Source organism: Homo sapiens, chromosome 7 (genome assembly GCF_000001405.40).
Source record: "Homo sapiens chromosome 7, GRCh38.p14 Primary Assembly".
Taxonomy (NCBI): Eukaryota; Metazoa; Chordata; class Mammalia; order Primates; family Hominidae; genus Homo; species Homo sapiens.
In genome coordinates this window covers 39,881,864-39,899,735 of record NC_000007.14, presented here as the reverse complement: position 1 = coordinate 39,899,735, position 17,872 = coordinate 39,881,864, and the positions used below count along the sequence as shown (strand labels likewise).

Genomic DNA, 17,872 nt, shown 5'->3' with positions numbered 1-17,872 from the left:
TTGGTGGCTCAGCGGCTTCTTGATGCCTTAGTTCCAAGCTTTTTTTCCATCTCTCCATTCTCCCAGCACTAGTATTGGCTTTATTTTCAGGTTGATGGCAAGATGCCGTCAGCACTTCCATACATAGTATTTTGAAATGATAATATCCAAAAGATAAAGGGAGGAGGCATCTGCTCTGTGGCTTTTCTTTGGATAGAGGAAAATGTCTCAGAACTGTCTTCCTGAGAGCAGGATTCCCTCATGTTTTATTAACCAGGTTTTCATTACAAGCTCATCCACGAACCAAACACTAGCAAGAAGTATTGAATTTCCAGGATTGGGTTATGCTAATTATCTGGAGTCAAATGACATTTGGGGGTTAACTTTATAACTGGGAAGCTGAGGCCAAAATGAGGTTTAAAACTTTTTTTAAACCTTTAAAGGATTCCTTTAAAACTTGAAGACCATATTTTCTCACAGCTAGGTCACTAACAAAGTCACCTGGAGCAAGATAATCATTTGTTTATTCAACATTTATTGAACACTGGGAAAAAATGCAGAAGATAAAAATGAATGGTCTGTGGTCTCTTCCCTCAAGGAGCACATACTCTAGTAGGGAAGTTATAACTGACTGTTCTAAGAGCTATAAATAGAGGTGTGAGCTTAGCCCTATGGCTCAGAGATGATGGAGGAGGAGGAGAAGTAGGAGGAGGGTGGAGGCATTGGCAGGGCAGAATCACAGGTGCCTGAGCTAAGTGCCGAATGTGCATGAGTTTGTCAGACAAATGATAAGGATGGGCATTCCAGGCAAAGAGATCAGCATAGACAGAGATAGTGAGGCACAAAACGATATGGCAGAGTAAAATAACTTGAAGATGTTTGGTGTGGCTGGCTTATTAGCGTTGTCAGAGTTAAGGCTGGTAAAGTAGGCTTTGCATTGAAAGGTCTCATTAGCCATGACAAGAAGACTGGGATCTTCCAAACTAGTAAGGAGCCACCGAAGGATTTTAAGCAGAAGGGTGACCTTGTTACATCTGTATTTTTCAGTGTTTACTATGGCAGTGGATGGAAGACAATGTAGGAATGAGACCCAAATCAGACACATTTTTAGGGAGGCAAATTGAGTGGGCCTCAGTTTTCTTATTGAAAAAAGGGTAGTGGAGTGGCATAGGATTAAATTAGGCATCACAAATGCAACTGCTACCAGGGCTGGACAGGTCCTGTCTATGCATCAGGTGCACTGGGGGTGGTTGGGAGCTGCATTAAATGAATAGAACACACTCCATCTAAAATGGGAGCCATTCTTGAAAGAAGACCAAGAAGAATAAATACACTAATAAAATAGAATGCAAGAGGGGCAGCAACTAGTCAGCCCAGGCTATTTTCTGTAGCTATTTTCTAGTTTTTTTCCCCAAACAGCCCCTGAATCACTTTTTGTGAAGTCTCCTAATTTTTCTATGTTGGTAACTAATTCCAAAGTAACAGTCAACATCAGCAGCAACAAGATTATGCATGGTAAATAAGTATACTCTGCTAGCGTTCACTGGTTTGGGACTTTGGGATATGATAAGCTCTAGGGCCTCTTCCAGCTCTAACAGGAAAAGACTCCTCCGTATCCCGCTAGCATTTGTGCTACATTGTCATTGATGGTTCACAGTAAGCCAGTCACATGGATGAAAGTCTCTAGGACTATTCAAACAGGCATAACCAGATATTTCTGGGGTTGGCATTTATTCATTGATATTTTTGTGTATTAATTTGTTCATTCAACAAGCATTTGTATAGTGTCAATTACATGCAAAGCATTGTTGAACAGAAATGGAGAGATGAATGAGAAAAATGAAACTTGGGGTTGAGGAGGAGAGATTGGGACTTCCTTACAAGGAGAAATCTGTCATTTCTTACCTGTTACCTCTGCCAACAGATCTTAGAGGAGAGACTTCTGCAGCTCGGCCCAGGGCCTTCGTGTTCAGCCTTTCCTGCTCACAAAACACAGATGTGAGCAAGCTTGTTCCTCAGGGTCCCCAGGACTCTCAGGATCTGACTTCCTACTATTCCATCTGGAGGAAAAGACAAATGACAAGAAAGGAAAAGAAGGCAATGAAAATAACTTACTGCTTAAGAAATTGGGTTATTGTCACCATTATGAGGCTTAAGTAACAGGTGACATGTGTTAAGAAGAGTTTTTTTTTTTTTTAAGTCAATCTAGGATTTTTTTTAAAAAAAAGAACAAATATGAAAATGCAAGGAGTAGAAAAATGTGTATTGTGTGGAAAATGCATAGAATACCTCTGGAAGGATATATGCACACAGAAACTGGCAATTGAATTCTATTTAGTTTAATTCCATTTAACTAATTTTATTTTGTTCCATTTAATCAATAGAGAGCTTGAAACAAAATCGAGTTATAAACTAAGAAAGTTAAATATACCATGAAAGCAAAGAAAAACAATAATTTACCATTTTAAACCAATTTTAATGTAACATTTTAAACACAATGGTTATTTTATAAGAACTGCAGAGAGTTTTAAAATTATAATATCCAGCGTTGTCCATATAATTGAGAATAGTGTCAGAAGCTTTAAAGATATGTACAGTACAGTATACCTTTTGTTGTTGTTTGAGAGAGTCTCGCTCTGTTGCACGGGCTGGAGTGCAGTGACACAATCTCAGCTCACTGTAACCTCCATCTCCTGGTTACAGGCTGTGAGCCACCGCACCCAGCCAAGTATACCTTTTAACCCAGCAATTATAGTAATAAGAACTTATCCAAAGGAAATCATTTAACATGTGTATAAAGATTTAACTCGGCCAGGCGCAGTGGCTCACGCCTATAATCCCAACACTTTGGGAGGCTGAGGCAGGCGGATCACCTGAGGTCAGGAGTTCGATATCAGACTGGCCAACATGGTGAAACCCTGTCTCTACTAAAAATACAAAAAATTAGCCGGGCGTGGTGGCAGGTGCCTGTAATCCCAGCTACTAGGGAGGCTGAGGCAGGAGAATCGCTTGAACCTGGGAGGTGTAGGTTGCAGTGAGCCGAGATCGCGCCACTGCACTCCAGCCTGGGCGACAGAGCAAGACTCTCTCTCAAAAAAAAGTAAACAAAGACAGGAAAGCATCTGAGACCCAGGAAATGGAGTTTAAATTGCAAAAGAGCCAGCCTGGTGCCGAAGATTGGGAATGGGAATTCAATACGCTTCTGCGAAATTCCCGTGTGGTGCTGCCACCCACTGGACAATTAGGAAATTAAACTGAAACTTTGCCATAAAGCTAGTTTTTCCATTAGAATAATATTTTGTAAAAGAGCTGACACTTGCTGTATTTCTATCATAATACTTTTTTCCTAATGCATTTGCTTGTGCTTCCTAGCTCAATGATAATCATTGGAGACATATGAGGGGGACAGGTATGAAGAGACAAGAAAATGTCAGTTACTGAGAAATTAAATCAAAGACTTGTGTATTCTAGACTCAGCCTTTATGAGTGTGAAAGATCTGTAAATCTAGAACTCGATATGCACTTGCTACATAGTCACTTACTCACAAAACATATGCTGAATTAAAACAATAGCAAACATTTGTTGAGTGTTTACTGTATGTTGTATCCATACTTAATGTGGATAGAGTATTTTATGGATAAAACATGAATATAGTGCTTTATGGACACACACTTTATGTGGATTAATTTATTTAAGTCTCACTACAACCCCCAAAAGTAGGTGCCATTTTTGTCCTCATTTTACATTTAAAGAAACTGAGGCATGAGGATATTGAGTAACTTGCCCATGGTCATGAAGCAAACGAATAGTGAATTGGGAGTCCAGCCCATGGAGTCTGATCTGGAAGTTTGTCCTCTTAACCTCAAGGCTAGTGGTTCTCAAAGTGTGGCTCCTAGACCAATGTCATCATCATCCCCTGGAAACTTGATAGAACTGCAAGTTCTCAGGCCCCTTTAGAGACCTGAATCAGAAACTTGGGATGGAGCTGGATGCTGCGGTGTATACAGTGCAGTCCCAGCTACTTGGGAGGCTGAGGCAGGAGGATAGCTTGAGGCCGGAAGTTTGAGGCTGCAGCGCACTATGGTTGCACTTGTGAATAGCCACTGTACTCTAACCTAGGCAACATAGCCAGACCTTGTCTCAATAAAAGAAAAACAAAAAAAGAAAATCAAAATGTGAATCAGAGGATTCCAGGTGATTCTGCCACAGGCAAAAGTTTGACAACCACTGACTTAGATTATGCCATCACCAAGTGTTAAAGTATTTAAATAAAAGTAACTGGTTCTAGACTTATCCTACAGATCAAGAATAAACAGTGTGGTAGACATAACTACACTGTCATTTATGTGACATCCCTGGTGACTGTCAGGGATTCTCTGTTCATCATAACTGTGTTTGATTGGGATAATGACCCCTCTGGGGAGGAGAGTCCAAGGATAGAAAGGTGTGGGTGGTTCTGAAGAGAAGCAAAGGCACCCACCCAGGTGTCCATACTAGAAGTTGGCAGCAGGGAATACATCCACCGTGGCACTAAAACAGAGAACAAAGCAAACATGAAAGCAAAGAAATTCCCTGGGCAGGAGGCTTGTTTTCTTCAGTTTGACTTCCAGGGAAAGAATGGAGGGGATTCCCCAGCAAGAGCAGGGCGTCCTATCCCAAGTGTGTGGCCTGGGCTTGCAGCAGTTGAGCTAAGCTGGAACAATGTCTCCCAGCATCCCCTTCCCTGCATAGTTCCAGGCTGGCATGGCCCACAAGAGACATCTTGGGTGGAATTTGGAAGACAGAGGTGAAACAGCAGCTGTATCCCTTCTGTGCTCAGCTGACTGGCTCAGGCTCCAGCTACCATCCCAGCACATGCTCGTGTTGTTGCTTTTCTGTTGGCTCACCTTGTTGGTGGCAGCCCGTGGCTCACAGCTCCTCCATATTTTGCTGGAGCCTCTTTCAGCTTCTCTGACTCTTGGGCCAGATGTATGTTTGGTTCCATAGTGGAAGGCTCTAGCTTTCCCTATAGGACACCTACTTCCTTGAAATTGGAAGCTTTCTAAAAGACCTATGTGGGCTCCAATCTGTCCTCTGGCTCCAGCTTTGGGCTCAAGAGTCCCAGTTTATCCTTGCTTTCCTCCACTTCATATCCATCCTCATCCTCATCCCCAGAGGACCTGCCCTGCAGACTTCAGGCCCCAGAACCAGCCATCTACAGACTGTTCAATGTTGACAAAAAAAAGTCAAGTCCTGTAAAATATTTGAAGAGATTTATTCTGGCCCAAATGAGGGTGACCATGGCCCGTGACACAGCCCTCAGGAGACCCTGAGAACATGTGCCCAAAGTGGTTGGGGCACAGCCTAGTTTTATACATTTTAGGGAGACATAAGACATCAAATACATGTAAGATGTACATTGGTTTGGTCTGGAAAGGTGGGACAACTGGAAGGAGGCAGGTGGGGGAGGTCCAGGTTATAGGTAGATTTAAACATTTTCTGAATGGCAGTTGGTTGACAGAGTTAACTTATTAAGCTATTATCTAAAGACCTGGAATATACAGAAAGGAATGTCTGGGTTATGATGATAAGGGGTTGGGGAGACCAGAGTTTTATCATGCAGGTGAAAGCTCCAGGTAGCAGCCTTCAGGGATAATAGACTGAAAGTGTTTCTTTTTTTGTTTTCTTTTTGAGATAGGGTCTCACTCTGTCACCTAGGCTGGAGTACAGTGGTGTGATCTTGGCTCACTGCAACCTCTGCCTCCCGAGCTCAAGTGATCCTTCTGCCTCAGCCTCCAGAGTAGCTGTTATTACAGGTGTGCACCACCACGCCTGGCTAATTTTTGTATTTTTAGTAGAGACGGGGTTTCGCCATGTTGACCAGGCTGGTCTTGAACTCCTGACCTCAAGTGATCCACCCGCCTCGGCCTCCCAAAGTGCTGGGATTACAGGCATGAGCCACTACGCCCGGCCCGTAAGTTTTTCTTATCAGACTTAAGGTCTGTGTTGATGTTAACGCTTGTCAGCTTTTGCTGAAATCCAAAAGAGAGGAGGGTATAATGAGGTATGTCCAACCCTCCCTTCCTGTCATGGCCTGAACCAGTTTTTCAGGTTAACTTTGGAATGTCCTGGCAGAGAGGATGGGTCCATTCAGGTGGTTCGCGGACCTTAGCATTTTATTTATTATTATTATTAACTTCATACATTTTTTTGTTGAGATGAGCTTTTGCCATGTTGCCCAAGCTGGTCTTGAACTCCTGGGTTCAAGAAATCCACCTGCCTCAGGTTTCCAAAGTGCTGGGATGAAGGCTGAGGCAGGTGGATCACTTGAGGTCAGGAGTTTCAGAACAGCCTGGCCAACAAGGTGAAACCCTGTCTCTACTAAAAATACAAAACTTAGCTGGATGTGGTGGCACATGCTTGTAATTCCAGCTACTTGGGTGGCTGAGGCAGGAGAATTGCTTGAACCCCGGAGGTGGAGGTTGCAGTGAGCCGAGATCATGCCACTGCACTCCAGCCTAGGTGACAGGGCGAGACTCCATCTCAAAAACAACAACAACAACAAAAAACCAAAGTGCTGAGATTACAGGTGTGAGCCACTGTGGCTATCCCAGAATTGTTTTTAGTTTGCATTAACCAGCTTCCAAAATTGTTTAGGTCCTCTCAAATCTCCCTAGTATACATCACTCTGAGTGGGTTTTTCTGGATGGACCCTTGGCTGATACACTGGCACAGAGAGAGGACACCCCATCTGGAGCAGACAAGGCACAAGCCAAGAGGGATCACAGAACTAGACCTGAGGGAGGAAAAAAAGTGTCAGAGAATCAAGGTATCCTGGCCAGGTAAACCCAGGGGACTGTTAGGGTGACCCAGTTTTCAGAAGAAAGATCCATCAAAATGCAGGAATCTTAACTCTTTGTACCATTCTCAACACTCAGCTACAGAGTGATGATTTCCAGAATTGGTGGAGAGATGCTGGAACAAGCTTGTCTGATCTGAGTCCCAGCTCCAACCCTTACCAGCTGGACAACCTTGGACTAGTTGCTTAACCTCTCTTTGCCTCAGTTTATTCACATGCAAAATGGAGATAATAATAGCACTTATGTCACAGGTTGTTGAGAAGTTTACAGGAGTTAATATTTGTAAAGCTTCCAGAATAAGCCTTGGGACATAGCAAGTACTATTTACATTTCTTCTATTTATTTGGAGGTATTCACATTTACAGATGACTCAAGTTTCACCTATGTCCCTTGGAGAGTACCTCTCCCTTACTTTCCCCCCAGGATTTGCCCCAGGAATTCCCCTTTTGCCTCCCCTGTAAGCATTCTTCTCATCTCCTCTCTCTCTTCTACCCAAAGCCCTGTAACCACCCAGCAGGTTCACCTTGCCCGCTGCCTAGACAGAGCCAATTTATCAAGACAGGAGAATTGCAATGGAGAAAGAGTAATTCATGCAGAGCAGGCTATGCGGGAGACCAGAGTTTTATTACTACTCAAATCAGTCTCCTTGAGCATTTGGAGAATTTTTAAAGATAATTTGAGGGGTGGAGTCTCAGGAAGTACGGGGTGCTGATTTGCCAGTTTGGAGATGGGATTTTAGGGGGTCATAGTGAGGTTTTCTTGCTGTCTTCTGTTCCTGGGTGGGATCACAGAACTGGTTGAGCCAGATTACCCTTCTGGGTAGTGTCAGCTACCAGTGCAAGGTCTGCAAAATGTCTCAAGCACTGATCTTAGGCTTTACAATGGTGATGTTATCCCCAGAAGCAATTTGGGGAGGTTCAGACTCTTGCAGCCAGAGGCTGCATGACCTCTAAACCATAATTTCTAATCTTGTAGCTAATTTGTGAGTCCTACAAAGATAGACTGGTCCCCAGGCAAGAAGTGGGTCTTTGTGGGGAAAGGGCTATTATCAATTTTGTTTCAGAGCAAAACTGTGAACTAAATTCCTTCCCAAGGTTAGTTCAGCCTATGCCCAGGAGTGAACAAGGACAGCTTAAAGGTTAGAAGCCAGATGGAGTCGGTTAGGTTTGATCTCTTTCACTGTCATAATTTCCTCTGTTATAATTTTTGCAAAGGTGGTTTCAGCCCTGCCATCAGCCCTTTTGGAAGGAGTCTTTTGGGCAGCATGCCAGCCCTCTCCTGGATCTTCTCTGCCCTGATCTCACCTTACAGAAACCAGTTATCAGCATCTGAAATCCAAGGTGCAAATTATCCTGTGAGGTATCAGTGGTCATGGCAGTGGACGTGGCTGAGGCAGTGATTGGAGCCTTTTCTTGCCCTTATCTCTTTTTCTTTTTTTTGACAGTCTTGCTTTGTCACCCAGGCTGAAGTGCGGTGGCGCAATCTCGGCTCACTGCAACCTCTGCCTTCCAGATTCAGGCGATTCTCAGCCTCCTGAGTAGCTGAGATTACAGGTGTGCGCCACCATGCCTGGCAATTTTTTTATTTGTAGTAGAGATGGGATTTCGCCATGTTGGCCTGGCTGGTCTCGAATTCCTGACCTCAGGTGATCCACCTGCCTCGACCTCCCAAAGTGCTGGGATTACAGGCGTGAGCCACTGCACCCGGCCATGTGTCTTACTTATTGAACATCTGCTGTATATCATGCAGTTCACTAGGTGCATAACATATAATAATGCTTCATTCAGTCTTCCCCACAGCCTGTTGGGCAATACCATCTTTGTTTCACAGGAGAGGCAGTTGAAGCTGAGAGAGGTTAGGTAGCTGCCCCAGATCACACAGCCAAAGAGCCATGGGGTCAGATTAGGAAACCAGGCCCCTATGGGCTGCACAACCCTAGCCAGCACTTTCCACTACAAAACCTGCCCTTGAATTTCCTAGTCACTGTCAGAAAATCTCGAAAGGGATGTGCACTGCTTTAGGGACAGGGGAGAAGGGTGGGGGACTAGGTGAGGCTTAGTTCTCTAGGGGCTAAGAGAAGCAGAGGAGCATGAGAAGTGTCTAGGAGAATGCCCACAGCTGGCTCACTTCCATCCCTTCATCTTCCCTCATGCCCTATTTTGACCTTGGGCAAATGCCACCAAGTTCCAACAGTGCAATACCTATTGTCCAGGGCAGCAGAAGGGCAGGTGGTTGCTCCATGTTCCTGAGCCCGACTGCCTTCCCGTTCGAGCTGGACTTACCCTCTGGATTGCGGTTTTCAGAACTTTCTCAACCAGTGTGGAGAAACCATAGAAACCACACAGAAGGTAATTTGAGTGAGTACTCTTCTCAGTTCTTCCAAGAATGTTGCATCCCATGCTGCAGTTCCCTGCAAGATGCATAAGAGTGGAGTTAATTCATTACAGAATATGCCCTAGGACAATAGGACTGAATTCTCTCAGAAAGAAAGGTTATTTTTTGTTACATAAACAGAAAGAGTAGTACAATATATGCTATAACAAACCCCTATATACACACACACACATCATCCATCTTCAACAATTAATGACAACGTGTCCATTTTGTTTCATCTATCCACTCCCTCCAGTACTTTTCGGGGAGTGGTGGGGATGAGCATTTTATTTTGTTTGTTTGTTTAGACAGTTTTGCTGTCACCCAGGCTGGAGTGCAGTGGTGCCATCTCGGCTCACTGCAACTTCCACCTCCCAGGTTCAAGCGATTCTTGTACCTCAGCCTCCCAAGTAGCTGGGACTACAGGCGTGTGCCACAGCCCCTGGCTGATTTATTTACTTACTTATTTATTTATTTATTTTAGATTTTTAGTAGAGATGGAGGTTTCACCATGTTGACCAGGCTGGTCTCAAACTCCTGGCCTCAAATGACCCACCCACCTCGGCCTCCCACAGTGCTGGACTACAGGCGTGAGCCACCGTGTCTGGCCAGGATGAGCATTTTAAAGCAAGCTCCAGACGTCATGAAATTTTACCCACAAATACCTCAGTATGCATATTTTGCTGGTAAAAACCTTTTATATTTCTTTCTACTTATTTTTTTTTCCTTCTTTTAAAAAAATGTATTGGTTATTTTTTTAGATCAACATCTCACGATGTTGCTCAGGCTGATCTGAAACTCCTGGGCTCAAGCAATCCTCCCCCTTCAGCCTCCCAAAGTGCTGGAATTACAGGCATGAGCCACTGCACCTGGCCAAACCCTTTTAAAATATGATCACTATGCCGTTATTGAACAACAATGTAATAACACTGCACCTTGCACCAACAAATATAATTAGTAACATCTAAAACAATAATATAAAATTTATAATAAATAAATAACATCCACTACCCAAACCATATTCAAATTTCATTGATTATCTCAAAAATGGCCTTTTTATAGGATTCAAACAAAACCTACACGTTGATTTAGTTCTCATGGCTGTTAAGTCTTCAAGCAAATCTTTAATCTCTATAAACCTCAGTTTCTTCATCTGTAAAATGAGAATTAATAACCATCTCATGGAGTGTGTTGGTTTCCTTGGGCTGCCTTAACAAGTTCCACAAATTCAGTGGCTTAAAACAACAGAAATTTATTCTCTGGCAGTTTTGGAGGCCAGAAGTCCAAAATCAAGGCATCAGCAGGGCCATACTCCTTGAAGGCTCTCGGGAAGCATCTTTCCTCACCTTTTCCAGCTTCTGGTGGCTGCTGGCCACCCTTGGTGTTTCTTGGCTTGTACCTGCGTCACTCAAGTCCTCACCTATTGTAAGGACAGTCACCTTAGAGCACACCCTAATCCAGTGTGTCCTCATCTTAACGTAATTACATCTGCAGAAACCTTATTTCCAAATAAGGTTACATTCATAGGCACTAAGGGTTAGGATTTGAACAGATTTTTTAGGGGGTCACAGTTGAACCTATCACACATGATATTTGCATGGGGAAAATACAATACTGCTGTGGCAAGTAAGAATCACTTAATAAAAATGATGGCAATGTTCAGTATTACTACTATAACAATAGATGACCACAGCTCCACTCCAATTAGAACAGTTGAGGAATATGACATGACAAAAACAAATAGAGGCCAGGCAACTGTAGGAAACAGAAAGTTGTACAGAGGACCCGGCATTTTCCAACATTAATGAGAGGCCTGTGAGGAAAGGGAATTTGGCTTGGAGTGATAAGTTTAGTTCCCTCTCTCTCTCTCTCTATTCTTAGAGATAGGATCTCACTATGTCATCCAGGCTGGAGTGCAATGCCTATTCACAGTCACAATCCCACTACTGATCAGCACAGGAGTTTTGACCTGTTCAGTTTCTGCCTGGACTGGTTCACCCATCCTTAGGCAACCTGGTGGTCCCCCACTCCCAGGAGGTCACCATACTGATGCTGAACTTAGTGCAGACACCCGATTGGCATCGTGTACTATAGTCCAGGACTTCTTGGGCTCAAGTGATCTTCCCACCTCAGGAGTAGCTGGGACTACAGGCATGCACTGCTGTGCCTACAGGAGTCAAAAGTTTAAGTGCTGCAACTTCCTCATGGGGAAGCTGTTTAGCCAGAAAGACTACATCCCAGAGCTATTTATTTATTTATTTATTATTTTTATCTTTTCTGTTCTCTTAGATGGCTGGATGAGATAATCCCTGTATTCCTTTCCAGCTCTATTTTTCTGTGATTTGTTCATTACCTGTTTCAGATTACCCCAATTTTGTCAGAAGAAACTCAGAATTTTGAAATATTAGAGGCTTTTGCAAATGGAAAGTTGAATTGGAAGAGCAATCAAGATATCTTTGTAGGCCAGGTGTGGTGGCTCACACCTGTAATCCCAGCACTTTGGGAGGCTGAGGCAGGCAGATCACTTGAGGTCAGGAGTTCGAGAGCAGCCTGACCAACATGGAGAAACCACGTCTCTACTAAAAATACAAAATTAGCCAAGCTTGGTGGCACATGCCTGTAATTCCAGGTACTCGGGAGGCTGAGGCAGGAGAATCACTTGAACCCAGGAGGTGGAGGTTGCGGTGAGCCAAGGTCACGCCATTGCACTCCAGCCTGGACAACAAGAGCGAAACTCCGTCTCAAAAAAAAAAAGAAAACAAAGATATCTTTGTAGATTTTTACTAAATTAAGAAGCAGTAAGCAATGAGTTTTAAAAAAGAAAAAATCTTTTACATTCTAAAATGCATTTCTGAGTCAAAGCTGTAGAACAGTATGGGGGAAATGTAGAAGTCTCCCATTGTCTAATAATCCTTGATTCACATTGGCTTTCAAACAGTGAATCTATAGCTATAGCCCCAATTATAATTTGTGACACAACTTCTTGCATATGTATTAGGTTGGTGCAAAAGTTATTGCACTTTTTGCCATTAAAATGGCAAACCTGCAGTTACTTTTGCACCAACCTAATAGAGTTGAAGAACCAATCCAGACCTTCAGTCTTCATTTGTGCAATTCTAGTTCTGTATGTTTGTTTTCCATAAGGAAAATACGTAGTAGTCATTAAATGCTGTTCACTAAATATTTGCAGCTCTCTACCTTTGGGGCACCTGGTAGGATTTGGGTTATGTAGCTCTTTTTGGTCAATGAAATTTGAGCAGGAATGACATGTGACCCTTCTGGGTAGAAAGCAGTGCGTAATTCACCATGTTCACCTTCCCAATGTCCTGATGATCAAGGAAGCCACTGCTGAGAGGACACTACTGGCAGCCTGGGCCCTGAGTGGTGGCAGCAGCAAAGAGGCCCTGCAGCCCCACCTTGGACATGTAGCAAAAGTAAGAAATAAATGTGATTGCTGCAATTTGGGGGTTGGTTGTTACTGTGGCATAGGCCATTCTATCCTGGCTGACACAACATTTTTTTTAATACTAAAAAGAAGCTGGGCCACGCACAGTGAATCGTGCCTGTAATCCCAACACTTTGGGAGGCCAGGATAGGGAGACTGCTTGAGGCCAGGAGTTCGAAACCAGCCTGGGTGACAACAGTGAGATGCTGTCTCTACAAAAAATAAAAAATATTAGCCAGGCTCCAGGCGCAGTGGCTCATGCCTGAAATCTCAGCGTTTTGGGAGGCCAAGGCAGATGGATCACGAGGTCAAGAGTTCGAGAGCAGCCTGAGCAACATGGTGAAACCCCATCTCTTCTAAAAATACAAAAATTAGCCGGGCGTGGTGGCACATGCCTGTAATCCGAGCTACTAAGGAGGCTGAGGCAGGAGAATCATTTGAACCCGGGAGGCAGAGGTTCAGTGAGCCGAGATTGCGCCACTGCACTCCAGCCTGAGTGACAGAGTGAGACTCCATGTCAAAAAAAAAAAAAAAAATTAGCCAGGCACGGTGGCACATGTCTATAGTCCCAGATACTTGGGAGGCTGAGGTGAGAGGATTACTTGAGCTCCGGAGGTGGAGGCTGCAGCATGCTGTGATGGAACCACTGCACTCCAGCCTAGGTCACAGAGCAAGACCCTGTCTAAGAAATAAATAAATAAATAAATAAGAGGTTTCAAAAAAGTCAATTCTCTAGCAAACCAGGGCATTTCTAAACTTTAGGAGCAAAAGGATTGTGATTTTTGGCCAGCAATTTAATTTCCCTTGCTTAACTTTGTAATTATCTCACATGCTCCCTGAAGCCTTGAAGTCAGATCTCTGCCTACCCTTCATTCACATCCCCAAACCAGTTAGAGCAGAAACCAAGTTCCCACCTGCCCTGGCCTTCCAAAGTGCTGAGATTACAGGAGTGAGCGGCCACTCCTGGCCCCCAACTTTCTTTTTTTTGTTTTATTTTTTTGAGATGGAGTTCCGCTCTTGTTACACAGGCTGGAGTGCAATGGGTCAATCTTGGCTCACTGCAACCTCTACCTCCCCAGCTCAAGCGATTCTCCTGCCTCAGCCTCCCAAGTAGTTGGGATTAGAGGCATGCACCACCACGCCCGGCTAATTTTGTATTTTTAGTAGAGACAGAGTTTCTCCATGTTGGTCAGGCTGGTCTCGAACTCCCGACCTCAGATGATCCGCCTGCCTGGGCCACCCAAAGTGCTGGGATTACAGGCGTGAGCCACTGCGCCTGGCCCTTTTTTTAGACGGAGTCTCGCTCTGTCGCCAGGCTGAAGTGCAGTGGCGCAATCTTGGCTCACTGCAATCTCTGCCTCCCAGGTTCAAGCAATTCCCCTGCGTCAGCCTCCCAAGTAGCTGGGACTACAGGCACCTTGCCACCACGCCCGGCTAATTTTTTGTATTTTAGTAGAGACGGGGTTTCACCATGTTGGCCAGGATGGTCTTGGTCCCTGACCTCGTGATCCACCTGCCTCAGCCTCCCAAAGTGCTGAGATTACAGGCGTGAGCCACCACGCCCGGCCCCCAAACTTTCTTTAGGAGTCAACCGAACTCACACCAAGCTGTGTGAAAAGCCACAGCTTTGTCTAGTTTAGACACAAATCCAGGCAGAGTTTCTGGTTATGACAAAACACAATCTCTGTCCTCCTCCTCCTCCCTCTTCCCTCATTCATTCAACGATATCTATTGACTGCCTACTACTGTGTGCCAGGCCCTGTGCAAGGTCCTAGAGAAAGGGCCCTTAAAAGCCACAGATCCTGCCTCCATGACCAACTGGCCACCTGTGCCCTTCCCTGATCCCTGCCCCTGCCTCCTGCTCTCCTACCCCAGCCCTCATTATTTTCCTATCAATTTTCTTTTTCTTTTCTTTTCTTTCTTTTTTTTTTTTTTTAGATGGGAGTCTCGCTGTGTTACCCAAGCTGGAGTGCAGTGGCGAGATCTCAGCTCACTGCAACCTCTGCCTCCTGGGCTCAAATGATCCTCCCACCTCAGTTTCCTGAGTAGCTGGGATCACAGGCATGTGCTACCACACCCAGCTTATGTTTGTATTTTTGGTAGAGATGGGGTTTCACCATGTTGCCCAGGCTGGTCTGAAACTCCTGACTTCAAGTGATCTGCCTGCCTCACCCTCCTAAAGTGCTGGGATTACAGGTGTGAGCCACCATGCCCAGGCCCCAACTTTCTTTAGGAGTCAATTGAGCTCAAACCAGAAACTTCTGTTGCTAGATTATTAAATCTCAGGGTCTTTAGACAACTTCTGTGTAGTACAATACTTCTCAAACTGGTTTCTCTATTGATATTCTTGGGCAGCTAAGAGTGTTCAGGTTGGGAAAACACTACCTCAAGAAATTAAAGATAATCTATAAAGCTTTTGGCTATGTAGTATTACTAACTATATAACATACCTTTATAACATAAAATAATTCAACCAAAGTAAAAATCACAAATGCAGGGTGATTGTGTTATTTTGACATTAGGTGCAATATTTCTTAAAATGAGGTCAGCAGATCCCAGGGCACAGGGAGTGGGGTGGGTTCTCTGGACATATTTTTGGGGGATGTGCGTTCTCCAGTTTAAGAAGCACCAACACAGGGTAGTAGATCCCAAAGCTGGCTTTATATTGGAGACATTGGAGAATTTCTTTTTTCTTTTATTTTCTTTCTTTCTTCTTTCTTTTTCCTTCCTTCCTTTCTCTTTCTTTCTTTGTCTCTTTCTCTCTCTCTTCCTGTCTTTCTTTCTTTTTTTTTTTTTTTTTGAGACAGGGTCTCATTATGTTGCCTAGGCTGGTCTTGAGCTCCTGAGCTCAAGTGATCTGCCTGCCTCGTCCTCCCAAAGTGCTGGGATTACAAAAATGAGCCACCACGCCTGGCCTGATTTTCTCCTAAGGTTTCTACATAAATATGTCTTAGAGTTTTGTTTATTTATTTGCAGAAATTTGCATAAGTCTTAGAGTTAAAAAAAAAATTTCCCCTCAGGATTTATACATTTTTCATTTACTTTTGATGATGTATTTGTTTACTCTAGCTGTTCTCCAGCCAAGCTATGTAAGTCTGTCTTACAGCAAGTGTTTTTGTCCACATAACTCTTTTTCCTACACTTACGGTAAAATACACGTAACACAAATCTACCATCTTAAACATTTTTAAATTTACAGCTCAGTGGCATTAGGTTCATTAACATCACCATCACCACCATCCACTCTCAGAATTCTTTTTTCTTGCAAAATGGAAACTCTGTATCTACTAAACACTAATTCCCCATTCTCCCCTCCTCCAACCCCCTGGCAACCACTTTTCTACTTTTTGCCTCTGGGAATTTGGCTACCGTAGGTAACTCATATAAGTAGAATCATACCATATTTGTCATTTTGTGATTGATTTATTTCATTTAGCAGAATACCCTTAAAGTTCATCGTTGTAGCATGTGTCAGAATTTCCTTTTTTTTTTTTTTTTTTTTTTGAGATGGAGTCTCGCTCTGTCGCCCAGGCTGGAGTGTAGTGGTGCGATCTCAGCTCACTGCAAGCTCCGCTTCCCGGGTTCAGGCCATTCTCCTGCCTCAGCCTCCCCAGTAGCTGGGACTACAGGCGCCTGCAACCACGCCTGGCTAATTTTTTGTATTTTTAGTAGAGACAGGGTTTCACCGTGTTAGCCAGGACCATCTCAATCTCCTGACCTTGTGATCCACCCGCCTCAGCCTCCCAAAGTGCTGGGATTACTGGCGTGAGCCACCGCGCCTGGCCAATTTCCTTCCTTTTTTAAATTTTTTTTTTTTTTTTTTTTTTGAGATGGAGTCTCACTCTGTCGCCCAGGTCGGAGTGTAGTGGCGCAATCTCAGCTCACTGCAACCTCAGCCTCCGGAGATCAAGCAATTCTCCTGCCTCAGCCTCCCAAGTAGCTGGGATTACAGGTGCGTGCCACCACACCCAGCTAATTTTCATATTTTTAGTAGAGATGGGGTTTCACGATGTTGGCCAAACTGGCCTTAAACTCCTGACCTCAGGTGATCTGCCCACCTTGGCATCCCAAAGTGCTGGGATTACAGGCGTGAGCCTGTTCCCAGCTGAACTTGGAAATCCCGAGTGGGCACCAATGACTTACTGATTACTCAGTAACCGTGCAGTCCTTTTTTACCTTCATTTTCAGGGGGTCCTTCGTGCTTCCTTTGTAGTGATCCTCACACAGGGCACCAGCTGCAGGGGTCCATCCTGCAGACCCTGACCCAACAACAGATGAATAAATACCCTGATACAGATATTATTCTGAGAGTTCAGGCGATTTACAGACTCCCAAGAGAGTGTTGTAAAGACTTGCAACCATGGCCCCCACTCGCTGGCCCTCTGTCACTTATATGGCACACATTAAATGACAAAATTCTCAAGTAAACACCACTAGAAGGTAATTACCATGTAGAGAGCAATCATGCACCTGCAGATGGTCAAAGGTTAGTCTTAGGACCACATGAGTCAACAAGCTATTTAGACAGACTCCTCTACATTCCTATGTTAATTACCCTTGCTATAGCTCAAGGAGGATTAGGCTGCTGTCAGCCATAACTCTATCCTGAGGCTTTTGCAAAAACCTTCCAGCTTTCCAAGAAGGTTTGTGTTTATTTTACAATTTTTCCCACCATCCTAACTGAACCCCTACACCCTATCCCACTCGGTGTGCTCTTGTGATCATGACTGGTGCAAGCTACACCCTTCTGCAGAAGTAAATTTGCCTTGCTGAGAAAATTTCTGTTCGAGTGCTATTTCTTTTGCGGCACCAAAAGTTGTTTCTAATGTGAGTGCTGTTAAGTGTAAGCAGAAATTAACACCAGCTGGTTGTTAATCTTTAGCCAAGACAAACCCCAATTCAGTTACTTACCTAGGAATGGGTCTCAGGCTGAAGTGTAAGCAAATTAACACCAGCTGGTTGTTAATCTTTAGCCACGACAAACCCCAATTCAGTTACTTACCTAGGGATGGGTCTCAGGCTAAATAAAGACTGCTGTCTACTATCCTAGAAGCAGGGGAAAAAAAACTCATCTTTCCTGCTGGAATTGAACTGGTTCGCTTCCATCATCATGGAAGCAGGAAAAACTTGCCTTCCTTGTGTTGGAAGCAAGTAAAACTCAAAAAAAAAAAAAAAAAAAAGGAGTTGTTAGATCTCGACCAAATTTTGGGAGATCAGGGATTCTCTGGGGGGGGT

The 17,872-nt window shown here is 44.1% G+C and overlaps 1 long non-coding RNA gene and 1 pseudogene across 1 annotated transcript in view; both read right to left on the bottom strand.

Moving 5' to 3' along the window:
* Positions 1-497: 497 nt before the first annotated feature.
* Positions 498-17,872, bottom strand: part of LOC101928688 (uncharacterized) — a 68,479-nt gene continuing 51,104 nt past the window's right edge. Inside the window, exons 8-9 of the long non-coding RNA XR_001745176.2 lie at positions 9,102-9,229; positions 498-2,039 (exon numbers count right to left, since the gene is read on the bottom strand). This is a non-coding gene — a long non-coding RNA (uncharacterized LOC101928688). The remainder of the gene's footprint in view (positions 2,040-9,101; positions 9,230-17,872) is intronic.
* Positions 11,072-11,361, bottom strand: RN7SL496P (RNA, 7SL, cytoplasmic 496, pseudogene; annotated as a pseudogene).